Source organism: Homo sapiens, chromosome 5, assembly GCF_000001405.40.
Source record: "Homo sapiens chromosome 5, GRCh38.p14 Primary Assembly".
NCBI classification, from domain to species: Eukaryota; Metazoa; Chordata; class Mammalia; order Primates; family Hominidae; genus Homo; species Homo sapiens.
In genome coordinates, this window is record NC_000005.10 from 1317333 (window position 1) to 1345310 (window position 27978).

Consider the following 27978-nt stretch of genomic DNA (forward strand, 5'->3'; position numbering starts at 1 on the left):
AAAGGCCAAGGCGGGTGATCACTTGAGATCAGGAGTTCGAGACCAGCCTGGACAACATGGCAAAACCACATCTCTACTAAAAATATTAATACAAAAAAGCTGGATGTGGTGGTGCACACTTGTAGTCGCAGCTACTCAGGAGGCTGAGGCAAGAAGATTGTGTGAACATGGGAGGTGGAGGCTGCTGTGAGCTGAGAACAACAAACCCCACAAAAACTAACTTCAACAAACATTAAACTTCACTACACACCGAGTCCAGCAGTTCTCCACCCATCTTTCTATTCCATTTCTCTCTCTCTGCCTCAACCTAGGGCAAGATAAGCTTGACCTGATGGGTCATGGCTCTGTACAATAGTTTAGTCTTAAACAACTAAGATGCTACGTATCTAAGAACACTCATGACTCAAAGGCTTGCAAAGGGCTCTTTAAATTTGCTCTTTTAATGCATAAATAAATCCATATCATGTATTACTTTCTGGAAAAGGGTTAAACTCAAATATCCGAAATACTTTCATTATACCAGGTCAAGAAAAATGCCACAGCCAGAAAAATTTATTTTAAAATAGAAACATACATTAAGCTTTAAAACAACCAACTCTCAAACAAAAGAGGAAAGAGCCTTTGATCCCAGAGTCCATGCGGAATGAATTCCATACGTGTTTGAAATTCACATAAGGAGCACTTAGAAAACCACCTGAAATGGAAATCCAACAGCCCCCTTGCCTGTGAGGGCTCCCACCCCTGCCCGCGTGAGGACATGGCCGAACCCCGGACACTCGTGTGCCGGGAGCCACCACAGCTCAAGGTGACCGGCAGCACCCAGCTCTGTGACCAAGACAGATGTTCACACGTGGGGGCATCGTAAGCGCTACCAGCTCCAAATCTGACGTGATGGGAACTTGGGAGATGTCTGAGAAATGTCCGAAGGGATTTTGGCAACACAGAAAACGCAATGTCTAGGAATTCCTCCAAATGCTTCCAAAAATACTCATTGACAATTCAAGTTGCACTTGGCTGGCGGCAGCCCGGGCGGCCTTCAGTCCGTGTGGGGCGCCCGCGTGGCCTTCTCCTCGTAGGACTCCCCAAACTCGTTCACTCTGCGTTTATCCACAGGATAAAGCCTGCAATGACACAAATGAGCACATCAGCAAACCCCACTGCAGGGGCTATTTTTCTAAGAGGAGGACTTGGCATCCTCGATTTATTTTCCAGTGAGCTGCCACAGTGAGCAAATTAACTAAAAAGTCGAATCCTCAGAAGTTTTACTGCCGAGGGCTGAGGAGGGATTTCTGAGTTGTGTTTTGTTCTGCATGGCCAGGCCAGCGTGCTGCTCTCAAGGAAAGGGAAGCTTGGCCGAAGGGACGACCCGGAGGCTGCACGGGCTGCCATGGCTGAAGGGGGGACCCGGAGGCTGCACGGGCTGCCTTCTGGGAACGGTGGCATCACGGAGACTCGAGTGATCAGAACAGGAACCGCTGTGTTCAGGGACCACGTCTCATCAGCTGTGAACACTTGGCAGGACACTGCCGCCGCCTTTGATCCTGAGCGCCCCGGAGGCCTTGCCAACATCACCCCTACGTATGGATGAGGAAGCTGTGGCATAAGGGGCAGCTCTACACGGCCGCGAACAGAAGTACAGGGTTTCAGCTTAAAAACAGACCTGCTGCCCACCAAGGGCCCTGTGATCCTGGCCAAACACCGTTTGCAGGTCTGGAGCCATTAACACAGAGCCTGAGTACAGCACAGTTTCAGGCACGCCCCGGGCCACCTGCGAGGACTTGGGAGCCACTTGAAGGGCTCACAGTTGAGACAACCACACCAGGCGCAGCAGCGTCCGGGGCTCCGTGGCTTGGACAACCTCAGGCTCTGCAGGGGGCAGGCGGCCAGCTGGGGGATCTGAGAATGGTGAACGGGGGACAGGAACCAAGCCCCGTGTGAGTGTGAGTGTTGCTTATGGTGAAATAGCCCTTCCCGCTGACACAAGCTGGAGCTCCCGTGCAGGGGCTGCACGAGACAGCAACAGGGTGGGGGGGGGCAGCCGGCGGCCAGGCCTGGAGAGCTGGGCAAGGGCGGCCATGAGCCACTGTGTGGATGTGCCAACTGCACCCGAACAAAGAGTTAAACCAGGCAGAACCATGCCAGCCTCATGCTGGCTGGGACAGAGGCTCTGAACACCTGGCGAGGTTGAGTGTGGAGACAGGGCGGGGACGGGAGCACTGCGCTCCCCAAGGGCCGGCACCCCGGACCTAGGCAGGACCCGCCAGGACGGCCTGGGGGAAGAGGATCCCTCTCCTGCACTAGTAGGATGGCCCCAGGCCCTGAGGGAAGGGCACAGGGAAGTGTCACAGCCGTGGTGTGTGAGGTGGCCTCCTGGTCGGGGGAGGGAGATGGGAAAAGGGACCTTGAGGGCCAGAGAAAGGACACAGCCAGGAGGCTCTGAGACACTTGGCAGCAGGTCTTGGGGGTGACACACACTCCTTCGACCCCTGGACAAGGCCCTGGGGCCGGCACTGGAGGTGAGGGCAGTGCTTGCAGTGGTCCAGATGCAACCCTCCCGAGGGGAGCCCCAGATCCCTGGCTCCTACCCTGGCACAGCAGAGCTGGAGGGAGGTTTTGCTGACTGAGAGGGCAGATGTCAGCCCTGGAGGGAAGCGGGAGGCCCAGGGTGGGGCCTGAGCCTCTGCATTTGGAAAATTCCGAGGCCCGGGGTGGGGCCTGAACCTCTGCCTTTAGAAAATTCCACAAAGCCTTTTCCTCAGCCGTCAGCCTTCAACCTGAAGGCCAAGCTGAGAGGTCCACGCAATGCAGTCTTCAGAGGCCCTGGTGGCTGGTTTAAGGGGTGCGGCCAATGCTGAGGTGAGTGAGCTCCCCAGTGACATTGTGCCCTGCAGGTCCACACTGCTGGCTGGACACTTCGAGGCTAGCGCCAAGTATGGATTAGCCATGCTACGGTCTCTGTTCTGCTCAATAGCAATGACTGTGAATAGGTAAATAAATCGCTTAAGGAGAGACATTTGCTTTCAGTGGCTCATCAATAATTCACATAGAAACGAGCATTTCTAAAGCACAGTGAGGAGACAGAGCTGGAACAGTTTCTTGCCAGGACATATCATGGGCAACTGGAACCCAAGTTTAGGCAAGACAGGAAAAACCACCACCTGCAAATTATCTTTTCCCTCAAATGGATAAACAGGCGCAGGGTGCGGTGAAAGCCGTCATTCCGTTCAGCAGCAGCCACGCCGCTGAGACGGAGCAACGGCCGAGCATACGCAGCCGCACTCACCACCGCTGGTACAGGTAGACCAGAAACACCACGTCGTCCCGGAAGCAGGCCAGCCGGTGAGACGTGGGCATGGTGATGATGAAGGCAAAGACGTCATCAATGAAGGTGTTGAAAGCCTGCAGGGCCAGACGGGAGGAGGGTGAACCCCAGTTGCTGGGGCTGGAATCCTACTGTTTTTGGTAACCTAACCAAGCCAACGGCTTTTGGCAGATGCTTGGAACTAACTGGAACTCCTCACAGCAACAACAAAAAGAGCAGAAAGCCGGCAAGTGGAGATACGGAGCTCTGTTCCCTCATGGGCTCCCCACAGCTGCTGGCACCCGACACACTGCGGGTCTTGCCCAGGCTCCCACATCGGGGAACCCAAAGAGAATGGCCTGAAACCAGAGCCAAGGCTGGAGCCGCCCGAGACAGAGCCAAGGGCAGAGCCACCTGAGACCAGAGCCAAGGTTAGAGCCGCCCGAGACCACAGCCAAGGGGAGAGCCAAGGGCAGAGCCACCTGAGCATTGCCCTTTCCTCTGGGAGCTTGTAATTGACTTCAGAAAAGTGCAAATCATGTCCCATTAACTCAGCTCCGCCTGCAATGCCGAGGCACTTCTAATCCCACACGGAGCCAAGGGGGCCTCCACAGCTCTGCCAGCGGGGAATGGCCACGGCCCATGGGGGCTTCCATTCCTGCCTGGGAGGCCTGAATCCGTTGTCCCCAGGCACCGGTTACTGAGCCACAGGGGGTCTGTGTCTTGACACATGTGCTAAGAAGAAACATAAACACTAAAAAAGAAAAAGAAAACCAAATCTGTGACAAGTGAGAGAACCACCCCAGTCTTTCAGGGTCTGAAGTTACTCTATAGCTCTTCGCTTTTTTTTTTAAAGGAGCCTCCTCAATATTCTTCAATGAAAGGGACAGGTGCAGATGCACTCTGGGCAGAGATGGCCCCAGTAATGCTGTTGGCTGGAAGACGCCCTTGCTCACGCTCTGCTCAGTGAGAAGGGATTCCTCACCGGCTGTCACACTCACCTTGTAGGTGAAGGCCTTCCAGGGCAGATGTGCCACTGACTTCAACTGAAACAGGAGAGACAGGCCCAGGTCAGCTGTGGGCAGCACAGGAGACGGGGGCCGGGCCGCGGGCAGCACACACCGCCTTACCTTGTAGTTCACAAAGAGCTGGGGCAGCATGAAGAGGAAACCAAAGGCATAGACCCCTGCAGAAAGACAGACAGCACTCACGAGGTGCGGAGGGCCGGGCTGCCACATCTACGCACAGACGGCACTCACGAGGTGTGGAGGGCCGAGCTGCCACGTCTATGCATAGTGGGCAGAAAACAAGGTCTGCTATCCAGACAACTTCAGAGTCCATCATGGTGTGAAGCAGCTTTCTGGCTGGTAAGTTTATCAAGAGTCTACGACAACTTTGGAGAGCAAAGCTCTTCTATTTATTAATCAGTGTAACTGCTGCCCACGGGGTCAAGTCAGTGAGAGCACTGGAGCACCCTGGGGCTATGAGGACACGGCCTCCTGACCCACAAGGTCCTGCCCCAGGGGTCAGGTGTGGGACTCCTACCAGGGAGGACGGCAGTGCGGGACCCACCTGCTCTGCACCAGACAGGCCCTCGCCCTTAATGCTCACGGGACCACTTCCCAAAGAGACCACAAAGCTGCGATCAGGGCTGGTCTGGTGGGGCTGGGGGATGGACACAGCAGCCCATGCAGCTGAAGGTGCCACCTGGGGCAGGCGGGCCTCCCAGGACATGTGGCCCCGAGCACAGGGCCCTGCAGGGTCCCCACACTGCATCTGCAGGAGGGGGCGCGCCGTGCACCAGAGCCTGGTGCTTCCATTTGCTCTAAGGAACCAGACGTGGATGGTGTTGTTTTAATGCTTAGGTTTCCTTGTTTCCATGAAGAAAACAGACAACAGTCATGCACCACACAATGCTGTTTTCATCAGCGATGGACACATATACCAGGCGGCTGCACCACACAGCCTGGCGTGGAGGGGCTGCCACATCTGGTGTGAGCACTCCCTGTCGCTTGTACAAGGACCTGTTTCTCAGAACCAGTCACTGTTGTGAAGCCACGCAGGGCTTTATCTGCTCACAGCCTGGGGGGAGCCCTGGGCACCGCACATGTGCCAGAACAGGGTGGGGAGGGATTAGCCTCAAATCACAGGGGGGCTTGCCACACTGGGTTTCAATGCAAGAACAATTAAATCGCTGCCTGCTGGAAACACTAGTACTGAAGCAGGGAAGCACATGGACTCACCGTTGACGAAGCTGTTGATTAACCAGGAGTACCAGCTGAAACGGAAAAAAAAGGAGAAGTCCTATTTCTCGCATAGCTTAATATCTGTATTAAATTGATGAAAAATAATTCTTTCATTAAAAATCCTCTGAAAATACCCAGATGCTCTCACGGCAGCTCGGCAGCCAAGAGCAGCAGTGCTGAGCCTGGTTCTCAAGCTGGAGATAGCGCTGAGCACCCCCGGCCGGGCAGCAGAGGCCGGGCACTCCAGGAACCCCTCAGCTCAGGGCCAGCACCCCACCTGGGCAGCAGAGGCCAGGGGCTCCAGGACCCCTCTCAGCTCAGGGCCAGCACCCTGCCCGGGCAGCAGAGGCCGGGCACTCCAGGAACCCCTCAGCTCAGGGCCAGCACCCCACCTGGGCAGCAGAGGCTGGAGGCTCCGGGATCCCTCTTGGCTCAGGGCCAGCAGCCCACCTGGGCAACAGAGGCTGGGGGCTCCGGGATCCCTCTTGGCTCAGGGCCAGCACCCCACCCGGGCAGCAGAGGCTGGAGGCTCCAGGACCCCTCTCGGCTCAGGGCCAACACCCCACCCAGGCAGCAGAGGCCGGGGGCTCCGGGAACCCTCTCAGCTCAGGGCCAGCACCCCACACGGGCAGCAGAGGCCAGGGGCTCCAGGACCCCTCTCAGCTCAGGCCCAAGCCTCCCATGAAGCCTGGTGGCTGGAGTCAGTCCTCTCAGCTACACCTTACCAGGGGGACACTGAGGCCCAGAGCCCACCGTGTGCAGCTGCAGGGGCAGGACCCCTCCCAGGCGCTGGCCCAAGTGCCCCGGCCCCGAGTTTGCCCTCCAGTCGCACCCCGCTCTGGCTCAGTCATCCAAATGGCTTTCTCAGGGGAAAGACGCAGCAGGGGAAGCGTGTGCGGCCTCCTACCTCTTATATTTGATATTCAGGAGTGAATAGACAGCACCCCCGACACAGAGAGGGTACAGCAGGTATGACAAGTACTTCATGGCCTGCAGGGAACAAAGATGGCTTCCAGTTAGAGGCCCAAACGCCAAGCCTCTGTAAACACACTGCATGGAGCTCACCCCGACAGGGACAGACAGAACGAGCTACAGCGCTCAGGGTGGCAGGGCTGCTCTGCAGGGGGCGGCGTGAGGGGCACAGGCAGGGCATCGCACACTCGCCACAGCCCCAGGAGGCACCGCACACGCCAGAGCCCGGGTGTAACTACAGGCGCTAGTTAACAATAATAGATCAATTCTGGTTGGTCAAAACCAACCAACCCACAACAGATCAATAAACATAATGGAAAGAAACCGGAAAAAACTGCCTACTAAGTAATGTAGTTACATCGCCAGCTGTATCCATTCTGATTTCAGCTTTACAACGCCATGCAAGTTGGATATAAGCTGGTGAAGATTAAACCAAACTAAAATCATCTGTGCAGAAATGTTCTATTAACTGGAACTGAGAATTCCAGCTCCCCCAACAGCAATGGGGAAAGGTGACGCCCTGTGCTGCTGGGGCCATTCCTCCAGGCCACTGTGCGGCCGCGGCCATTATGGCCTTGGTGACGGCAAGTGCGTTCCCAGCAACCACAGCAGACACCATGGCCTGCGTCAGCTGCCTGGCGAATGTGACTTACAAACGATGAAAATATCCCTACTATACGGTGACACAGGCAGGCTGTGCCTGTAAGGACTGGGAAATGAGTCTCTGCGAGCCCCCGCCCTTCCCAGTAAGAAATTTGGGTTTTATGTGTTCACTCTTGGGATCCCTGCTCAAGGCGGGCTGACCCGTACTCCAAGGAGACTTCCGCACTGAGCAATGACAGTAAAAGACCCGTCTTTGAGGGTGTTGGATTTGCCTGGCATGCACGTGCCCTGAATCACAAGTGACTTACCTGAGTATCGTACTCCTCGGTTTTCCTCTCAGATTCGCTGTAAGTGCCAAACTGTTGTGAAATTCAACACAGTGATATTAATAGACTCAGGGAGGATCTGAGCACAGCTGAGCTGTGACTAAGGGGCGTCACATATGGCTGCAGAGCTGACCCAGGCCTCACTACAGAGGGCGCTCAGGTCCCTACCAGGCGAGGAGAGGACCCAGAGGACGGGGATCCGCATGGATCCTTCCCGCCTCACCCTGGCCCTGGGTCCCACAAGCCTGATGGGGGCAACGCGGCCTCACTGCTGTTCCTTGCTCAGGTGGCTCAGTTTTCAGTGCCACCGCTTCAGTGAGAACACTGCAGAGCACACAGGCACAGCCAACACTGCTCCGAACCAGCCGGCCGGGAGCCATGGGGCAAGGTGGAACACAGTGGCTGCGCTGCGTGTGCTGGGCTTCCTGACCCCCCTGCCCACAGCATGGAAAATCTCAGCCTGTGACTGCTGAGGGCCCCGCCTCAATCAAGGTCCATCCGTGGGCACTGAGATTCAACTCCAGCTCTGCCCCAGCCCTCATCTGCCTAGGGGCCTTATGGGCGCCCAGGCACTGGGGCAGCCACCAGCTCAGGGCAGGGGCTCACTCACTTCAGGACTGCCAGGACTGTACGGACCCCAGTCAGCACCAGCCTCGGGAGCGCCTCTGGACAAGGTGCCAAAACGAAGCACACGTGCTGGCCAGCCAGCATCCTTCCTCCCAGAGGCCGGCTCAGGCCCAGAAGTGCTGCCGTCTGCACTGAAGACGGTCAGAACTAGGTATATGACCGGGGAATCCTCAGGCGAAGAGAGTGGCTGCGATCAGAAACCAGTGCTGCCTCCACCACGGAGGCTCCCCTGACAGAGGCCCGCAGTGACTCATCTGCAGATGGCCATCTTACTCTTTGCACAGGGGGCAAAATCACACTCTTCAGAGAGGCTTGGGGTTCAGCCATTACAACTAAATCCTACCTGAAATTCGGGCATCAGGCCTCTCCAAAAAATAGTCATCTTCAATGCCTTCTTCACTTTCCACAGCTGAGGGGAGAAATCAGGAAATAGTTCCTTTAATATTCGAAGGCCAGGAGCCACGAATGAACGACCCAGACAGTAACGGGTAGGACCTGCTGCCCATGGCCCCGCGCAGCCCACTGTCCTCTTCCTGTCCCTCCCACAGCTCAGGCCAGAGCGCTGGAGGCTGGACCTGGGCCTCTAACCCACACACGGCAGGCGTACCTGGTCAGGTGGGCTGCACAGCCACCGCCCAGCGGACAACAAAAACAGCATGTGAGGGCAGTTCTTTACGCCACTCTGCCTGCACCCAAATAAGCCCCCACCTACTTCTGCCTGCCACTCGGGCAGCCCTGGAGCCAGTTTTGGGACCGCTCTGAGAGCCGCCACCTCATGGCTAAATGCTTGGAAGGCATCACCCACGGAGCTCAGGACGGGTGCCAGAGCCGGGCACGGCACTGTGACTCGTACCTATGGAGGGACCCTGCCTGTGGAGCTCCAGCGTCATTTCATCCAGCTCCTCCTCTACAGGGACATTCCATCCAGCTCCTCCTCTACAGACACATTCCATGCAGCTCCTCCTCTACAGACACATTTCATCCAGCTCCTCCTCTACAGACACATTTCATCCAGCTCCTCCTCGACAGACACATTTCATTTCATCCAGCTCCTCCTCCACAGACACATTTCATCCAGCTCCTCCTCTACAGGGACATTCCATCCAGCTCCTCCTCTACCGACACATTTCATCCAGCTCCTCCTCTAGACACATTCCATCCAGCTCCTCCTCTACAGACACATTTCATCCAGCTCCTCCTCTACAGACACATTTCATCCAGCTCCTCCTCTACAGACACATTTCATCCAGCTCCTCCTCTACGGGGACATTCCATCCAGCTCCTCCTCTACGGGGACATTCCATCCAGCTCCTCCTCTACGGGGACATTTCATCCAGCTCCTCCTCTACAGGGACAATCCATCCAGCTCCTCCTCTACAGGGACATTTCATCCAGCTCCTCCCCTACAGGGACATTTCATCCAGCTCCTCCTCGACAGACACATTTCATCCAGCTCCTCCTCGACAGACACATTTCATCCAGCTCCTCCTCTACGGACACATTTCATCCAGCTCCTCCTCTACGGACACATTTCATCCAGCTCCTCCTCTACGGACACATTCCATCCAGCTCCTCCTCCACAGGGACATTTCATCCAGCTCCTCCTCTACAGGGACATTCCACCCAGCTCCTCCTCTACAGGGACATTCCACCCAGCTCCTCCTCGACAGGGACATTCCACCCAGCTCCTCCTCGACAGACACATTCCATCCAGCTCCTCCTCTACAGACACATTTCATCCAGCTCCTCCTCTACAGGCACATTCCATCCAGCTCCTCCTCTACAGACACATTCCATCCAGCTCCTCCTCTACAGACACATTTCATCCAGCTCCTCCTCGACAGACACATTCCATCCAGCTCCTCCTCTACAGGGACATTTCATCCAGCTCCTCCTCTACAGACACATTCCATCCAGCTCCTCCTCTACAGACACATTCCATCCAGCTCCTCCTCTACAGGCACATTCCATCCAGCTCCTCCTCTACAGGCACATTCCATCCAGCTCCTCCTCTACAGACATATTTCATCCAGCTCCTCCTCTACAGGGACATTCCATCCAGCTCCTCCTCTACAGGGACATTTCATCCAGCTCCTCCTCTACAGGGACATTCCATCCAGCTCCTCCTCTACAGGGACATTCCATCCAGCTCCTGCTCTACAGGGACATTCCATCCAGCTCCTCCTCTACAGACACATTTCATCCAGCTCCTCCTCTACAGACACATTCCACCCAGCTCCTCCTCTACAGACACATTTCATCCAGCTCCTCCTCTACAGACACATTTCATCCTGCTCCTCCTCTACAGGGACATTTCATCCAGCTCCTCCTCTACAGGGACATTCCACCCAGCTCCTCCTCTACAGGGACATTCCACCCAGCTCCTCCTCTACAGACACATTCCATCCAGCTCCTCCTCTACAGACACATTCCATCCAGCTCCTCCTCTACAGACACATTTCATCCAGCTCCTCCTCTACAGGGACATTCCATCCAGCTCCTCCTCTACAGACACATTCCATCCAGCTCCTCCTCGACAGACACATTCCATCCAGCTCCTCCTCTACAGACACATTCCATCCAGCTCCTCCTCTACGGACACATTCCATCCAGCTCCTCCTCTACAGACACATTCCATCCAGCTCCTCCTCTACAGACACATTCCATCCAGCTCCTCCTCTACAGACACATTCCATCCAGCTCCTCCTCTACAGACACATTCCATCCAGCTCCTCCTCTACAGACACATTCCATCCAGCTCCTCCTCTACAGACACATTCCATCCAGCTCCTCCTCTACAGACACATTTCATCCAGCTCCTCCTCTGCAGACACATTCCATCCAGCTCCTCCTCTACAGGATACATTCCATCCAGCTCCTCCTCTACAGGATACATTTCATCCAGCTACTCCTCTACGGACACATTTCATCCAGCTCCTCCTCTACGGACACATTTCATCCAGCTCCTCCTCTACAGGGACATTTCTTCCAGCTCCTCCTCTACAGACACATTCCATCCAGCTCCTCCTCTACAGACACATTTCATCCAGCTCCTCCTCTGCAGACACATTCCATCCAGCTCCTCCTCTACAGACACATTTCATCCAGCTCCTCCTCTGCAGACACATTTCATCCAGCTCCTCCTCTACGGACACATTTCATCCAGCTCCTCCTCTACAGACAGATTTCATCCAGCTCCTCCTCTACAGACACACTTCATCCAGCTCCTCCTCTACAGACAGTTTTCTTCCAGCTCCTTGTCTACAGACACATTTCATCCAGCTCCTCCTCTATAGACACATTCCATCCAGCTCCTCCTCTACAGACACATTTCATCCAGCTCCTCCTCTACAGGGACACTCCATCCAGATCCTCCTCTACAGACACATTTCATCCAGCTCCTGCTCTACAGACACATTGCATCCAGCTCCTCCTCTACAGACACATTTCATCCAGCTCCTCCTCTACAGACACATTCCATCCAGCTCCTCCTCTACAGACACATTTCATCCAGCTCCTCCTCTACAGGGACATTCCATCCAGCTCCTCCTCTACAGACACATTTCATACAGCTCCTCCTCTACAGAGACATTGCATCCAGCTCCTCCTCTACAGGCATGACGGCCGCAGAGGCCCCCACCCACAGGTGGGCCACCAACTGCAGAGACCTCAGACTCCGGCTCCTGCCGGTGTGGCACAGAGCTCAGTGAGGAGCTAGGCTTAAGCCTGGGCCCTCTCACCCTGAAGGCCATCGCCCCCCTCAAGGGTTTGCTCCTGAGCTGGTCTTGCCCCACGAGGCTCCCTTTTGGCCGGCTTTTCTGAGCTCCGGAACAACCAAGGCTGGACCACAGGGCACCGAGTGATTTCCGTCAGTGCCTACCTGGCCGCTGTGCTCAGATCTCCAGCCACAGCACGAGCCTCTCAAGGCCCCACGGTTTACACCTCTGCTTTGCACATGGTGGGATTTCTCAAGCACATGAAAACACTCTGTTTGGTGGACAGGGCCTCAGGCCTCTGCTTGGTGGACAGGGCCTCAGGACTCACCACTGCTTGGTGGACAGGGCCTCAGGACTCTCTGCTTGGTGGACAGAGCCTCAGGACTCTCTGCTTGGTGGACAGAGCCTCAGGACTCTCTGCTTGGTGGACAGGGCCTCAGGACTCTCTGCTTGGTGGACAGGGCCTCAGGACTCTCTGCCTGGTGGACAGGGCCTCAGGACTCTCTGCCTGGTGGACAGGGCCTCAGGACTCTCTGCCTGGTGGACAGGGCCTCAGGACTCTCTGCCTGGTGGACAGGGCCTCAGGACTCTCTGCTTGGTGGACAGAGCCTCAGGACTCTCTGCCTGGTGGACAGGGCCTCAGGACTCTCTGCCTGGTGGACAGAGCCTCAGGACTCTCTGCTTGGTGGACAGGGCCTCAGGACTCTCTGCTTGGTGGACAGGGCCTCAGGACTCTCTGCTTGGTGGACAGAGCCTCAGGACTCTCTGCTTGGTGGACAGAGCCTCAGGACTCTCTGCTTGGTGGACAGGGCCTCAGGACTCTCTGCTTGGTGGACAGGGCCTCAGGACTCACCACTGCTTGGTGGACAGAGCCTCAGGACTATCTGCTTGGTGGACAGGGCCTCAGGACTCACCACTGCTTGGTGGACAGAGCCTCATGAGCTGATACCACCCGAACACGCATTTCCTTGCTCTCCACTTGTTCAAAGCCTTTACACCCACTGCCTGCCATCCTACAGCTTCCAGAACACTGAGGCCATCGGGAACAAGCACACAGGCTTCCACAGAAGGTCTCAGGTCCCGGGGCTGAAAGCCTTTCCTGAGTGCGTGGAGGCACATGGACCTCAGACAGTTCAGGTCACTGCCCGGAACTCACCTCAATGGCGGCTCCAACACCCGCCGGGACCAGCACCAGCAGGCTCGTCTGCTCGTCCAGCAGGAACAGAAAGATGACCACGGTGCTGAAGCAGCGCCAGAGCACTGGGGACAGGATGGTCGGGCTGGGAGGGGGTGCAGGGCAGACCCCACCTGTGTTCCCCAAGTCACACACATACCCCCAGTCCCCCATCCCAACCCACCACGCCCAAGAAGCTTCAGGTACTCCCCAGTCCACGTCACCCCGTTTAAAAAGAACAATGAAGCATTCAGCAGCTAGGAAAGTGTTTGGAAGGCTGCTGAACTGAACAGCTGGCCCCACACCAGCTCCACAAACACGTGTCTGAGCCACACTTGCAAATGAGCATGGAACGTGGGCAGAGGTCGGATGACGGGGCCAGCACAGCTTTGCTTCCGGGCGTGTCTTATGCCAGTTCTGTGATAAGTGCGTGGCTTTTCAAGTCTGGATTTGTTTCCTCCCCAGCTGTACCTTAAGAACCACTCCAGCTTATTCAACACGTCTTCCTCCTCCTGCAAGCCCTGAGGGCAAGCAGGGGAAGCAGATCCATGGAGCCACAGGACAAACAGTGGTCAAGGCCACAGCCACTGTCTGCTGGCCACTCCAACCCAGGACGCCAGGAAAGGCATTAGGGTTAGGAGACAACAACGCAGAACACGGCACGGCCCCCAGGCAGCCAGGGCCACCTGCTTGGGCGTCTTTTCCATGCGAGAAAAACAACTTGTTCGGGTCTGATACTGGAGCCAAATGCTCCTCACTCCTAACCAACAGGACACACCCACTCCTCGTCCTCACACCCATCAACCACTCGCCCCTGTCCAGACCGCCGCTCCCCACCCCACTGTGACAACCTCCACCCCTGCAAGGTCAGGAGGACCCCTCACTCACTTGGGCCCCTTAAACCACGGCAGGCACCCTTGGCCAGGAACACTGGTCCCAGATCTTGGCAGGCCTCCTGCCTGGGCTGCCTGGCCTCAGGGGTCCCTGACTGCCCTACCTAACAGCTGCACACTGCCTGTCACTGCTGGGCACAGCACCACGGGCCTATTAACTGCCATCACCTGGCAGGCCCCACACGCCCAGGCCTGCGCTGGTCGGGGAAGGAACACCGGCGGGAGGACGGGGCGAGGGAACCAAGACAGGGGATGTGAGGCCCCAGCCCTGCTCAGCGCCCATGAGCAGCCGGGAAGGCTCGAGAGGTCCATGCATCTCACTCTCCACAGCCCAGACCCAGACCCCATGCACGCCAGAGTCCGCAGCCAGGCCCTGAGCTGTGCAGCCGCTGGAGGCCCTGAGCCGTGCAGCCTCTGATGGTCCCACCACAATTGCCGCAACGGCTCCCTGGGCTTTACGGTGCCTGGTCTCAGAGGCTTCTCAAGAGCCAAGCACACACCCGGGGCTGTGTCTGCAGCCAGCAGTGAGGCAGGCAGCCCTCTACCGCAGGCTCCAGTGAGCTCCCTGGGGCAGAGTATCTGAGCAGGGCCACGCTCGGGGGGCCTACCTGCCTTGGTGGACATGCCGATCATGCTCTTCTTCTTCTTCCAGAAACTGATGTCATTTTTAAAGGCCAGGAAATCAAAGAGAAGCTAGAGAGAACACACACGACAGCAACTCACATCTCCTGCTGTTTCCATCTCCTGTGAGACAGAGATAGAGGCTTCGTGTGTGACCGTGAGACTGCAGGTGTACTCAGCCTCAGGATGCATCAGGATAAGTGTCTACACTCGGGACCCATGCCTCTACGCGCCTGGCCTGCCATGTCAGAACCTAGAGTGCCCAGGCGGGCTTTGCAGGGGCACTTCTGAAATAATACGTACCTTTGACTTGAACTGCTGGAAAGGCCCCCAGGCAATTGGAGGCTCTGGATTCCCCTGGATCATGGGCCTGGCTGGGCACCCCTGCTCTCGGGTTGTGCCCACTCAGGGCAGCCTCATCTCTCAACTGTGCTAAAAACGCAAGGGCTGGGCATGGTGGCCCATGCCTGTGATCCCAGCTACTGCAAGGCCAAGGCCAAAGGACCACCTAAGCCCAGGGGTTTGAGACCAGCCTGGGCAACGTACTGAGACCTGTCTCCAAAAAAAACTTAAAAAAACCTAACCATGCATGATCTCATCCTTAGAGACACTGACCTTTTAATAAAAATCGTTTAATTCTCTAGTACGGCTTTGGAAAGTTTTAGCTTGACTGGCAGCCAAACTCCCAGGCACTCAGAACCAGTGCCGGCCGCACTCCTGGGTGCCGCCTAACCACAGGCCAGCCTAACAGCCACAAGGATGGCTCTCCCTAGCAGCTCAGCTCCACGAACAACAGTAAGAGCACAGCAGCCTTGCTTTACCCATGGTTTACTGTCCATGGTTTCGGTTAGCACGGAGCAGTGCGATGAGACAGATATTCTGAGAGTGAGACCACACCCACGTAACTTTATCACACTGTCCTGTCCTGTTTCTGTTACCAGTTATTGTGGGTAATCTCTTACTGTGCTTAACTTATAAATTGAACTTTATCAAAACCATTACATAATACATATATTCATTCATTACGTTATTTGATACACATATTCAGACATCCAATGAGGGTCTTTGAACACACCCCCTGAGGATGAGGGACTACTGTATAACACCAGATGAGGATAAGGGGCGGACTACTGTATATACACTGGATGAGAACAAGGGGGGACTACTGTATACACACGGGATGAGGATAAGGGGGGAATACTGTAGACACACCGGATAAGGGGGGACTACTGTATACACACCGGATGAGGATAAGGGGGGACTACTGTATACACACCGGATGAGGATAAGGGGGGACTACTGTAGACACACCGGATAAGGGGGGACTACTGTATACACACCGGATGAGGATAAGGGGGGACTACTGTATACACACCGGATGAGGATAAGGGGGGACTACTGTAGACACACCGGATAAGGGGGGACTACTGTATACACACCAGATAAGGGGGGACTACTGTATACACACCAGATGAGGATAAGGGGAGACTACTGTATACACACGGGATGAGGATGAGGGACTATTGTATACACACCACATGAGGATAAGGGGGGACTACTGTATACACACCAGATGAGGATAAGGGGGGACTACTGTATACACACACGGGATGAGGATAAGGGGGGACTACTGTATACACATTGGATGAGGATAAGGGGGGACTATTGTATACACACCAGATGAGGATAAGGGGGGACTACTGTATACACACCAGATGAGGATAAGGGGGGACTACTGTATACACACCGGATGAGGATAAGGGGAGACTACTGTATACACACGGGATGAGGATGAGGGACTATTGTATACACACCAGATGAGGATAAGGGGGACTACTGTATACACACCGGCTGAGGATAAGGGGGGACTACTGTAGACACACCGCAAGAGGATAAGGGGGGACTACTGTATACACACCGGATGAGGATAAGGGGGGACTACTGTATACACACCGGATGAGGATAAGGGGGGACTACTGTATACACATCGGGTAAGGGGGAACTACTGTATACACACAGGACTGACTTTTTACATTTAAAAATCAGTGTGTTAGAATTTATACAAGAGAACTACTTTCTGCTAGAGGCTGCCCAGCTCCGCCCCTGGCTCTGCATGGGGTCGGGGCCTGGGCAGGGGAGAGTGAGATGCCTGCACCTATTCATCTCATTGGTGTGGACACTGCTCAGAGTACCCTGGATCCTTTTCAAAACCGCCCCCAAAGCCAGCACAGCCCAAGTCGCCAAGGCTGTGGACGGAGCTTTATGGTCCCTCCCTTTTCAGAACTGGGAGAAACCGCCCACTGGGACAATGGTCGCCTGGTGTCAGGCGTGCTGGCTGCTGAGTGATGGGAGTGGACACTTGAGGGCCACAGGGCTGGACGGCGCCCACAAACCCCAGGTCCAGGACCCCTGCAGGAGGCCCGGGGCCCAGGGAGCCCCCCAAGTGCCTGCGGCAAGCCCCCCGGTGGATGACTCACATGGAACGCTGCGACAAAGAAGGTCAGCGCCAGGAAGTATAAGTTGGTATCTACAAAAATTCCTTTCACCTCATCAGCATCTTTCTCTGAAAACCCTGTCAAGGAAAAAAAAACATACAATATAAAACAGGCAATGTCAATCTTACCTAACATTACAAATACAGTTTTCAATATAAAAATTTAGGCCGGGCGCAGTGGCTCATGCCTGTAAACCCAGCACTTTGGGAATCTCAGGCAGGCAGATCACTTGAAGTCAGGAGTTCAAGACCAGCCTGGTAAACATGGTGAAACTCCATCTCTACTAAAAATACAAAAATTAGCTGGGCGTGGGGGCACGCGCCTGTAATCCTAGCTACTGGGGGGACTGAGGAACGAGAATCGCTTGAATCCGGGGGGCGGAGGCTGCAGTAACCAGAGATTGTGCCACTGCACTCCAGCCTGGGCAACAGAGCGAGACTCTGTCTCAAAACAAACAAACAAACAAACAAACAAACAATAAAAATAAATCTCATCAACAGTTAAGGTTCATTTGACCAAACTCATGGCATTTCACATATTATGTTCTTAATAAAGCCAATTTCCAGACAATCAACCAGGTCATCTCCAAGGAGAGAAGTGAGGCAGGCGCTGCTAGCCTCTGATTCAACGTCTGTGCAAGGATCTGCAGCAGGAGGCGAGGAGGCCCCGGCCTGTGTCAGGATTCGCACTTGGATGCCCGAGGGGCTCCAGGGCGGCCTCACCCAGGCGCCGGCCGTGTGCGGCACATACCGAACTGCTGCAGGGAGTACACGGCGTCCTGCATGTGGATCCAGAAGCGCAGCCGCCCCAGTGAGACCTTGTCGTAGGACACGGTGAGGGGCAGCTCGGTGGTGGAGCGGTTTATGACCTGATGAAGAAAGCCACACTGAGGGCCCTGCCCTCATACCCTTGCACCCAGCTGCCTGGCAGCCCTCGCCAACCCTGCCATCCCCCTTCCCATCCCTGTGTGGCCCCAGGTCAGCCATGACTGGGCCCAGCAAGCATCCCCCGGTCCCTCCTTCTGTCACCACAGGCCTCAGGCCCCAGCGTGCTGCGTTCCAGCACAGGGAGGTTCCCACCCCCACCAGGACCCCGTGAGCTCAGCAGCGCTAGCAGTGCCTGGTCTGTTTTGCTGCACGTGCCCCTTCAATTTTAAGCCGCACAAGTCCTGGTGCCCCGGAGGTGGTGCTTGCCACCCAGCTGCTAGGACTCCATGGCGCAGCATACGGCGCTGAGCTTGGCCTGCAGAGCCCTGGCCTGTCCTAAGAGTTGGAGACCACGGGACAAGCACAGCCCTGCAGCACATGGGCAAAGTGCCTCAGGGCCTAAAGCACAGAGCAGGGGGTGGCCGTGGGGACAACAGAAAGCTTCTGGAACGCAAAGCTAGCAGGGGCAGTAGGGTGGATGTGTAGGTCTCAGAACCACGAGCTTAGTCCTGCAGCCTGCCGGGGCCTCACGCACACAGGCTGTGGGCCAGGTCCCAGGGTGCCGAGGTAGGAGGGTGAGGAACGGGTTCACAAGCGCGAGCCCACACCCTACAGCACGTGGGCAGTGACCACACCCGGTGAGCACCACCCTCCACGTTCTGGAACATCCAGCGAGGGCTGTGCTCTAATCCACCTGCCCTGCCTCAAGCCCTGACCCGCCACCCTCCACGTGCTGGAACATCCAGCGAGGGCTGTGCTCTAATCCACCTGCTCTGCTATGGCGGGCACTGCTGGTGTCAGGGTGTGGTGGAATCAGAGCCACAACCAGCAGGTGCCAGGTTGCCCTGAGAGCGGCTGTCAGGGCGCCCCACGTAGCCAAGTGGCATCAGTGCACATGGATGGTGGCCTCCAGGCACCCCTCGAGCTGCCAAGCGTGTCCGAAGGGTGTCACTGCCTCCTCCATCTGGCAGTGCTGGGCCCAGCCACAGAAGGTGCCGACTTCCTGCACCTGCTGCATCCCAGCTGCCTGCTTCCTCTCTCAAGACAGCACCTCTCGAATCTGGCCCCAAGTGAGACACAGCAACAGCGACACATGAGAGAGACTGTGATTTGGGGGAAAAGCTGCTGTCGGCACACGTGTCTCCATAACCACTGGAACGCAGGCCACCACTGGCACAGCTGCGCCGCAAAGCCTGCCCCGGGCCTCTAACAAGACAGATCTGCAGACAGACACACAGGGCAGCCTTCTGCAGCTGCCTGCCCCTGTCCACCATCTCCTGAATGCCTGCAAGGAGTCAGCGGCATGAGGCTTCACAAGAGGTGACCACGAGCTGGTGCCACAGCTCACACAGCTCTGTATGGGGCATTTTAGCAGAACTTGCTGTCCTGAGGTTTGTCAGCAGCACACCAGCAAACTCCAGCAAACAGAGAAAGAGGTTGGAATTGCAGGGGCCGACAGAGAAACTACTCAGGGATAGGCTGCAGCGCCAGACCTGCTCGCCAGCCACTGCCTGTGCAGCCCCCAGCCTGCAGGTTGTATAGGAGCAATCAGTGACCCCAGAAGTGAAGGAGGCAGTATGTTAGGGACTGCAAGGGGTCTGAGGGAACAGCAGTACAGGGGGACTGTTCTGAGAGCCGCAGTCAGGAGGAGGCAGCAGGGCCTGGGCAGAGATCAAAGCAGCCAGGTGCTCGCTTCTCCGTTTCCCAGCTGCACCCCCCCGCTAGCAAGCCCTCTGCTCTCCCCAGGACTGTTTCCTCTTCAACAAAAAAGGGGAAAGGGCCCGCCTCAGAGGTCAGAGGTGCCGAGAGCCTTAAGTGGAAGTGGCCGGCTCCTAGTGGGTGATCCGGAGTGACAGTGATGGCTTGCAGGGAGGCAGGGCAGGGCAGCGATCCTGCAGGGCCCCAGCTGAGCGTTCACCTCTGAACCCCAAATAACCTCATCCGTGAAACAACGCCACAGCTCCCAGCACCACAATTACGGAAAGATTCACAAAGTGCTTAGCACAGTGCCTCATGTGCAGTAAGAGACATTAAATATTAACTGCTTCTGTGAGTCTCAATACTGGCCAAAGGTTGGCCACATTTCATCTCCTCTCAAAGCAACTATGGGAGAGCAGGCGCTGTCACTGCCCGTAATCACAGGGCGCCAGAGCCCAGAGAGCAGCCACTTCTATTCGCAAAGGCCTTCCGCCTTGCCAGGGGCCACCCCGGGGGCTCCAGCTCCGAGGAAGGGCTGTCACCCGCTCCTCTGGCCGCCTGTGCAGGACCAGCCCTGGTGGGGAAAGCAGGAGTTTGCTCAGGATACTGTGAATTAATCTACATGGCACACCAGGAGCTCACACGCAGACGCTGTTTCACACGGTGCTCATGTGCCTGCTCTCTAAGCGCTGCCCTCTATGCGCTGCATAAACAATCTTCCAGGGGCCTTTCACCAGTGACAGTCCAGAGGCTCAGCAGGACCCCGCAGCCAGCCAACGGCAAACCCAGCACACCACCAGGGCCCCCCTGTCACAACCCTCGCACACTCGAAGGCAGTGCTTCCCAGCACGGGTAAAAGCACCGTGTCAAATGTCAGCAATGGCCCGGTCCATTAGGGTGCAGGGGCTGCGGGGCCAGTCTTGGGGTCAGTGTCTCGCCAGCTGCACAACCAGCGGGCAGAGGTGTCACTCACCATCAGGTCCTTCACGCGGTTGCTGAGCTGGTCGATGAACAGGATGGGCAGGTAATGCACGGTTTTCCCCAGCTGGATCCTGGGATTAAAGCACAACTTTCCAAAGTCAGCACCAAGGCTTTTACCTTTCAATGAATGAACACATCCAGACACTGGGTTTACCCCAGAGAAGTGCCCCCAGCACCACCCTCAACTGCTTCTCAGTCACAATGACCCCAGGGCACAGCCTCCCCAAACGGAAGCAGAGAGCCTGACAACATATGCACGCTTGTGAGACCCGCTCCCCAGGAAGTGATGGCCACAGGTGGGAAAATGCCTCCACGGCCACTAGGAGCGGGGGAATTACAGGGACACGGCCGTACAGCAGAACCCAGGGCCCTCTGCGCACTGACACGGAGCAATCCCAGGATGCACTGACACGGAGCAATCCCAGGATGTGGCCACTACACTTGGAAGGGCGAGTCACCTGCAGCCACCTGGGAGGCGGAGCTGTGGCGCAGGAGTTGGGGGGGGGATCCCCAACACATGGGAGAGACGAGGTGAGCTCAGGTGGCCAAACACGTGAATTCCAATAATTGTATTTAACTGATGGCAAGTGATACTAAATAATCTAAAGATTAACTTTTAAGTAAATCTAAATAAGCCAAGTTAAAAAATCACAAGGGGAGCAAAGCAACCCGTTCCCATCAGCGCCTTCCGTTTTCTCTCCATGGAAGCCTTCGCCAGCCAGGAGCAAAGGGCAGGATGCTCCAGCTTGAATTCCTTTCTCCCCCCTTCCAGCCCTGTGGTAGCAGCACAACCTCAATGAGGAAGTGGGAAAGAGCTGGGAGGCCCGGGCAGCAAGTGCCTCCCCACAGAGGGGACTCCACGGTGCAGGAGTGACCTGCTGGCGAGTTCTGGCCAGCCAGGGTCCCAGCACCCTCCCCCCGGCGCTCCAGCTCTGGGGCCCCACTTACATCTTCATGTACCGATGCACATCGGCAGGCAGGGAGGACCCGTCAAAGACAAAGTTGTCCGCCATCACGTTCAGCGCCAGCCGCGGTCGCCAGTGGGACACTGGCTCATCCAGGGCACTCGTCGGCTTCTTCTCCGCCTCGATCTGCTGTTAAGTGAGGAAAACAGAGGCCAATGCTGGGACAGAAAACCATGCCCAGGACAGCAGGGTCAGCCCCCTAACCTGCGAACAGAACGGCCACACAGACAGGCAAACTGTGCCCGGGACAGCAGGGTCAGCCCCCTAACCTGTGAAGAGATGGCCACACAGACGGGCAAACTGTGCCCGGGACAGCAGGGTCAGCACCCTAACCTGTGAAGAGAACGGCCACACAGACGGGCAAACTGTGCCCGGGACAGCAGGGTCAGTGCCCTAACCTGTGAACAGATGGCCACACAGACTGGCAAACTGTGCCCGGGACAGCAGGGTCAGCGCCCTAACCTGTGAACAGATGGCCACGCACATGGAAAAACCGCACCCGGACAGCAGGGTCAGCACCCTAACCTGTGAAGAGAACGGCCACACAGACGGGCAAACTGTGCCCGGGACAGCAGGGTCAGCGCCCTAACCTGTGAACAGATGGCCACACAGACGGGCAAACTGTGCCCGGGACAGCAGGGTCAGCGCCCTAACCTGTGAACAGATGGCCACGCACATGGAAAAACCGCGCCCGGACAGCAGGGTCGGCACCCTAACCTGTGAAGAGAACGGCCACACAGACGGGCAAACTGTGCTCGGGACAGCAGGGTCAGCGCCCTAACCTGTGAACAGATGGCCACACAGATGGGCAAACTGTGCCCGGGACAGCAGAGTCAGCGCCCTAACCTGTGAACAGATGGCCACGCACATGGAAAAACCGCGCCCGGACAGCAGGGTCAGCACCCTAACCTGTGAAGAGAACGGCCACACAGACGGGCAAACTGTGCTCGGGACAGCAGGGTCAGCGCCCTAACCTGTGAACAGATGGCCACACAGACGGGCAAACTGTGCCCGGGACAGCAGGGTCAGCGCCCTAACCTGTGAACAGATGGCCACGCACATGGAAAAACCGCGCCCGGACAGCAGGGTCGGCACCCTAACCTGTGAACAGATGGCCACGCACAGGCACAACCGGGGGAGAGCCCAGCAGAGAGGGCACAGCGGCCCCACAGCTGCCAATTCCGCCAGACTCTCGCCAAACAGCCCCCCATCCTTATCTCCACGGAAGCCAGGGGGTGCTGCTTTGCAACATGTGGTCACGGACTTCACCAATTCCTTTTTTGAGGTCCTCAAACTAAGTGGGCCCACTTCTCAGAAGTTGAGAGGGTGAGAGCCCCCTGACCTTGGCAGAAGACTGTGCAAGTCCAGGGCTCACACAGCCCTGTGGCTGTAAGGAGACTGAGAGGGAGTCAGCTTCTAAAACCAAGCATGTGGGGCTGCCTAAAGGAGACATACTGAGGATTACACACGGCTCTTACATGAAGTTAAACAGGACATGGACTGACAGGGAAATCTTAGCTCGGCTCAGATCTGATACATCCTAGGAAGCACTATCGCCTCACCCATTTCCTACCTAAAGATGCAGTTTAGCGATAATTTACATTACAAACGGTTTTCCACACCTCCTCACATTTGCTACCTGCAAGGGAGGCTTCCTGCGCTACATGCTACATGCCCATCACCCCACCCACTTTTCAGGACACTGGAGAGGAGGGATGGGGGCCCCAGATGAGGGGACACGGAGAGGGGCAGGTGAGGGATGTTCCTAAGGAGACAGATGCAAACTGGGGAGAGGCAGGAGCAGGTGTTGGTAGGGCTTTCAAAACCCCATCAACTCCGAGAGACCTCTCTTTCTCTCTGTCTGGAACAATTTCACAGCCTCTTCCTGGAAAGCTGCCATCTTTCTTGTTTTGTAAATTTTTCTGAGGCAGAGTCTCCCTCTGTCGCCCAGGCTGGAATGCAGTGGCATCATCTCACCTCACGGGTTCAAACGATTCTCCTCCCTCAGCCTCCTGAGTAGCTGGGATTACAGGCGCGTGCCACCACATCCAGCTAATTTTTGTATTTTTAGTAGAGACGGGGTTTCACCATGTTGGCCAGGCTAGTCTCGAACTCCTGACTGCAGGTGATCCACCTGCCTCAGCCTCCCAAAGTGCTGGGATTACAGGCATGAGCCACTGCGCCCGGCCTTGTTTTGTAAATTATCTCACCTTCCACTCAACACAAAGGTGGGTGTCAGAATTCCCTTGCTTTATCCTTGGCCTGTATTCATGATCACTTAAGTGACTTCCAGTTTTTATTTGCGCATACACCTTTCTACAGATGTACAAACTACAACTTGTACCTCTACCTTTTCCATGATCTCCAATTACATTCTTAGAATAAACATCTAGGAATAGCCCAGTCCTACACAGAATGCAGAATGAGCCCAGCTCTCATCCCCAGAGCTCCTGGTGAGAAGCTGCAGGCCAGCTCTGCAGGACCAGCGCTCCATCCCACCAGGTGCAGTAGGTGCCCCCAGAGACTGAGAGGGCCCATTCCCCGAGGGACTCTGCATCGAGAATGCCAGCGATCACTTCAACTGTCCCTAATTTTAGATAAAACTTGTCTGCAAACTCATGGATATGATTCAGCTGAAAGTCAGAAATGCACGCCAGTAACATTCCAATGGCTTTTGGCTTTACTCCCAACAAAGTCACTGGAGCCCTAGACATCGCCCACCTGTGTGGAGAAAGACATGTCCGTTCTGACGGAGAGGCACAGCCTGTTATCAGTAACCCATGAAGACCCTCACCTGTGTATCAGACTCCCCGGTGAGCAGGTTGATTTCTTCTGGCTTGGGGACCATGTAGGTGGTCAGAGGACTGACCAGGTGCACCTGCTTCCCGTCGTGCCACGGCAGGACCCCAGCGTGATGGAGGAAGATGTAGGCATACAGCGTCCCATTGTTTCTCGTTTTCTTTGGTACAGAAACATTAACTGTCCTGAAACAGAACAATCATTTCCACTACATACATATTATATTCTGGGTCTCTAGAACCTATTCAAATACCTTTATAAAGCTGCTTCAATAAACTAATTTTAGCTCAGAAGTACTAAAAATGAAACCCACCTGCCCAGGGCTTTACGAGTCGTGTGTGTGTGTGTGTGTGTGTGTGTGTGTGCACGCGCACGCGTGCGCGTCCTGAGAACTCGGCACAGGTGTGGGCGCCTACAGCCGAAAGCAAAACGGCCCGCACTTCCTGCCTCCATCTCAGGAGGCTGAGAGGTCAATAACCCACCTGAGGCCACAAGGCTGAAGCAGCCAGATGGAAAGCAGCTTCTGGGCCTGGCCAGGGTACCAGCTGACCACACACACTGAATCACCCAACTCCGAAGCGACAGAAGGGAAGGGCAGCAGCCACGAGGGCTCCAGGTGCCTCGGCCCACACTACTGGAACCTCAGAAATTTAATGTGGGTAGTTTTTTTGGGTGTTGTAGTTTTAAGGATAAAAAGATGATCAGCCACAAAGGACTGACTTTCAAGGCTGTCAGTCCTGACTGTGTGGCATCCAGCACGAGCTGAGGAAAGGCCCGGCGAGCTGCTACAACTGTAGGCCTCGGACCAGGTGCCTGGCTCTTCACCCGCACACCAGGGCCCGACGTCCATACTACAGCCCCATGGAAAAACCTCGCATTCCACCTGTTTACGGTTACATGAGTTCTTCTTCCTCTTTAAAAGTCTCTTTTTTGAGACAAGGTCTCGCTGTCACCAGGCTGAAAGTGTAGGGGTGCAATCACAGCTCACTGCATCCTCAACCTCCTGAGCTCAAGTGACCTCCCGCCTCAGTCTCCCGAGTAGCTGGGACTACAGGTGGGCGTGCCACCATGCCTGGCTAACTTTGAAAACTGTTGTAGAGATGGGGTTTTGTCACATTGCCTAGGCTGGTCTTGAACTGCTGGGCTCAAGTGATCCTCCCGCCTTGGCCTCCCAAACTGCTGGGATTATAGGCATGAGTCACTGTGCCCGGCCTCTCCTTAAAAATCTTACGGTTGGCCGGGTGCGGCGGCTCACGCCTGTAATCCCAGCACCTTGGGAGGCCGAGCCGGGCAGATCACGAGGTCAGGAGTTTCAGACCAGCCCAGCCAACATGGTGAAACCCTGTCTCTACTAAAAATAAAAAAATTAGCCAGGCGTGGTGGCGGGTGCCTGTAGTCTCAGCTACTTTGGAGGCTAAGGCAGGAGAATCCCTTGAACCCGGGAACCGGAGGTTGCAGTGAGCAGAGATCACGCCACTGCACTCCAGCCTGGCAACAGAGCAAGACTCTATCTCAAAAAAAAAAAAAAATCTTACGGCCAAAGTTGTAATGAAAAACACAAAGGCATCTATGGCTCCTCACTACCCAGGAAAGAGTATGTCTCCACCAGGACATCTTAAGTGTCTCTCTTCAGGCAGAGGGTGCAGGGCTGTGTATTTCTGGTGGAATGTGCACTTGGAGACACTTGAGGCGGAGCTGTGTTAAGAGTGCTCATTCTCCCCACTTCCTCCAGGCTGACACTGTGCCAGGTCAAATGGAAAACCTCACTAGCTGTCCTTGGTAACTGGTACACGGCCCGGCACGGAAGAGGCAGTATTCATGTCTGGGAAATTAAACCCAGTGCAGATGAATCCTGAGCATTTTTGAAAGGTGTGGGCAGCTACAACCGAGCGGGCAGCTTGGTCACCAGCACTTCTGGCCTCCCCTTCATGGAGGCAGAGAGAGGGCAGGAACTGGCTTGAGGTCACAGGCCTAAAGAGGCCAGGCAGAAACCGGCTTGCCAGCGCCTCCAGCTACCCCCAGGGACTGGCTGCCTAGAGGGCGTGGAGTCCAGCATGAGTCTCAAACTTTCATTATTCTCTCCTCAGATACCTCCCAGGCAATGAAGGGAAATGGTTGACTTGTGAGAAGCAAATCATATTTAAAAGTATACTTATTCAATTAAAAAAAATTAGGCCATGTCAGATGTAATTTTTAAGATACTCTACATATTTGGACATTGATCTATTCTAACGTCACATGTCACTTATTTATGATTTTCTACAAAATTGCTTCCTCTATCCTCATCTCTTTTCCCTCACAAGTAACTTAAGCGAACTACTTCCACCAGGAAAAGACAAGTTGGTCCCCGGTAGTGAAACTGCAGAGTTGTCTGCTCTCCACTGGTTCACCAAGCGTGGCCCCTGCTCCTTCGGAGCCTCCCCGTCCAGGACATCCCACTGCCATCACACTCTGCTGAGAACTACTTCTTAAACGACATTCATCACCTGTCACCTTCCAGGCTGAATGTTTACAGGCCACGCATAGGCCTCCAGTTAGGATATTCTACCACTTCAAGACATTCGGTAAGACTAGTTCTCTAAAATAAACATGTTATGTACAGAAAGCTAACTTTTAAACAATCTGAACATGAGTAATGTTTTCCCTTTCACTGGCATTTTGTCCTACGCCCATACCTTTCAAATTTGGACTCCACATCAAAGTCTTCCACATTCAAGACCAGGTCGATGTTGTTCTCAGCACCCAGGTGGGACCTCGTCGTGGTGTACACGCTCAGCTGGAAAGGAGGGGGCGTCGAGAGTCAGCTCGGCCAGGCCCTGGCAGGACGCACTCAAATCCCACGGCCAGCTGGAGGGCGGAAGACCTGGCCGCTGGGGAACCAGGAAAGGTTCCATCTCGACTCGCGCGGCCACAGCTCCGAACTGGGACGGGAAGGCGACGTCTGGGGCCTGGAGGAGAGGCCCCCACCCCAACCCGCCCGGCCCCCGGCCCCGCGGACGCTCACCTGCAGCTTGGGCCGCCGCGCCAGGTAGGGCTGGATGCAGTTGGCGTCGCCGGAGCACGGGCGGGTGTAGACGATGCCGTACATGACCCAGCAGGTGTGCACCACGTAGACCACGAACACGCCCACCACCAAGCTGGTGAAGGAGCTGCGGCCGCTCCACATGGCGGCCCCGCGCCCGGCGCCCCCGGCCCGCCCGCCTCTCAGCCGCGAGCCCCGCCCGCCCGGCGCCCAGCCCGCCGCTCCGGGCTCCGCCGCTCACTGGAGAGCCGCCGCGCGCCACCGCCACCGCCGCGGGGGAACGAATGCGCCGCGCGCCGCAGACCGCCGGCCGCCCCGCATGCTCCGGCCCCGCTCCCACCTGGCGCCGCGGGATTCGCCGGCCCCGCGCGCCGCTTCCGGGCCCCGCCGCCTGCCGGAAGTGGACGCGCCGCGCGGCTCCCTGGGAAACGGAGTCTCGGCCGCTGCCGCGCACGCGCATCCAGGATGCGGCGCGTGTGTGACGTTACCCGCCCGCGCCGCCCTCCTGGGGTGCCTCTCAGGGACCCAGGCGCTCAGCTGCTGGGGCCGCGGAGGGCGTTCGCGGGGCGCCGGGGAAGGCTAGGGCCGCGGGGTCCCCGGGGCGCCGTCCCCA

At 56.2% G+C, this 27978-nt stretch overlaps 1 protein-coding gene across 3 annotated transcripts, besides 9 other annotated features; it reads right to left on the minus strand.

The window, feature by feature from the left end:
- Positions 420–27767, minus strand: CLPTM1L (CLPTM1 like). Of its 3 annotated transcripts, none has more exons than XM_011514144.3 (17): positions 27348–27767; positions 27019–27119; positions 24339–24528; positions 21528–21670; positions 20572–20650; positions 17725–17842; positions 16957–17051; positions 14467–14551; positions 12948–13051; positions 8419–8484; positions 7431–7481; positions 6455–6537; positions 5545–5579; positions 4432–4487; positions 4303–4347; positions 3284–3399; positions 420–1121 (listed from the first exon to the last, which is right to left on the minus strand). In XM_011514144.3, the coding sequence occupies exons 1-17, from the start codon at positions 27507–27509 to the stop codon at positions 1037–1039; spliced, it is 1614 nt and encodes a 537-aa protein (XP_011512446.1). In that variant the 5' UTR covers positions 27510–27767; the 3' UTR covers positions 420–1036. The 3 variants fall into 3 exon arrangements, with proteins under 3 accessions (XP_011512446.1, NP_110409.2, XP_024301990.1); NM_030782.5 differs by having other exon boundaries at positions 21528–21673; XM_024446222.2 differs by lacking the exons at positions 24339–24528; positions 27019–27119; positions 27348–27767 and adding an exon at positions 21814–21847 and having other exon boundaries at positions 21528–21673.
- Positions 2617–2761: an enhancer, noted in NCBI's record as "145 bp 5:1320136 sequence used in MPRA reporter constructs". NCBI's record gives its function as "activates a minimal TATA-containing promoter with rs421629 allelic activity by MPRAs in C283T melanocytes and UACC903 melanoma cells {active_cell/tissue: C283T | UACC903}" and the evidence as "EXISTENCE:reporter gene assay evidence [ECO:0000049][PMID:36423637]".
- Position 2689: a transcriptional cis regulatory region, noted in NCBI's record as "rs421629 or 5:1320136 MPRA-significant variant associated with a GWAS melanoma risk locus at 5p15.33". NCBI's record gives its function as "allelic transcriptional activity by MPRAs in C283T melanocytes and UACC903 melanoma cells {active_cell/tissue: C283T | UACC903}" and the evidence as "EXISTENCE:reporter gene assay evidence [ECO:0000049][PMID:36423637]".
- Positions 7850–8350: an enhancer, noted in NCBI's record as "H3K4me1 hESC enhancer chr5:1325297-1325797 (GRCh37/hg19 assembly coordinates)". NCBI's record gives its function as "activates a minimal SCP1, AML or CMV promoter by ChIP-STARR-seq in naive H9 embryonic stem cells {active_cell/tissue: H9 hESC(naive)}" and the evidence as "EXISTENCE:reporter gene assay evidence [ECO:0000049][PMID:30033119]".
- Positions 10203–10817: an enhancer, noted in NCBI's record as "NANOG-H3K27ac hESC enhancer chr5:1327650-1328264 (GRCh37/hg19 assembly coordinates)". NCBI's record gives its function as "activates a minimal SCP1, AML or CMV promoter by ChIP-STARR-seq in primed H9 embryonic stem cells {active_cell/tissue: H9 hESC(primed)}" and the evidence as "EXISTENCE:reporter gene assay evidence [ECO:0000049][PMID:30033119]".
- Positions 10818–11430: an enhancer, noted in NCBI's record as "NANOG-H3K27ac hESC enhancer chr5:1328265-1328877 (GRCh37/hg19 assembly coordinates)". NCBI's record gives its function as "activates a minimal SCP1, AML or CMV promoter by ChIP-STARR-seq in primed H9 embryonic stem cells {active_cell/tissue: H9 hESC(primed)}" and the evidence as "EXISTENCE:reporter gene assay evidence [ECO:0000049][PMID:30033119]".
- Positions 13321–13465: an enhancer, noted in NCBI's record as "145 bp 5:1330840 sequence used in MPRA reporter constructs". NCBI's record gives its function as "activates a minimal TATA-containing promoter with rs452384 allelic activity by MPRAs in UACC903 melanoma cells {active_cell/tissue: UACC903}" and the evidence as "EXISTENCE:reporter gene assay evidence [ECO:0000049][PMID:36423637]".
- Position 13393: a transcriptional cis regulatory region, noted in NCBI's record as "rs452384 or 5:1330840 MPRA-significant variant associated with a GWAS melanoma risk locus at 5p15.33". NCBI's record gives its function as "allelic transcriptional activity by MPRAs in UACC903 melanoma cells {active_cell/tissue: UACC903}" and the evidence as "EXISTENCE:reporter gene assay evidence [ECO:0000049][PMID:36423637]".
- Positions 23582–23726: an enhancer, noted in NCBI's record as "145 bp 5:1341101 sequence used in MPRA reporter constructs". NCBI's record gives its function as "activates a minimal TATA-containing promoter with rs31487 allelic activity by MPRAs in UACC903 melanoma cells {active_cell/tissue: UACC903}" and the evidence as "EXISTENCE:reporter gene assay evidence [ECO:0000049][PMID:36423637]".
- Position 23654: a transcriptional cis regulatory region, noted in NCBI's record as "rs31487 or 5:1341101 MPRA-significant variant associated with a GWAS melanoma risk locus at 5p15.33". NCBI's record gives its function as "allelic transcriptional activity by MPRAs in UACC903 melanoma cells {active_cell/tissue: UACC903}" and the evidence as "EXISTENCE:reporter gene assay evidence [ECO:0000049][PMID:36423637]".

Coding starts and splice junctions, on each gene's coding strand:
- CLPTM1L (NM_030782.5), bottom strand. CDS start 27,509: ATGTGGAGCGGCCGCAGCTCCTTCACCAGCTTGGTGGTGGGCGTGTTC. Junction 5,580..6,454: donor CTGAATATCAAATATAAGAG/GTAGGAGGCCGC, acceptor TTTCCGTTTCAG/CTGGTACTCCTGGTTAATCA. Junction 4,348..4,431: donor AGCTCTTTGTGAACTACAAG/GTAAGGCGGTGT, acceptor CTCCTGTTTCAG/TTGAAGTCAGTGGCACATCT.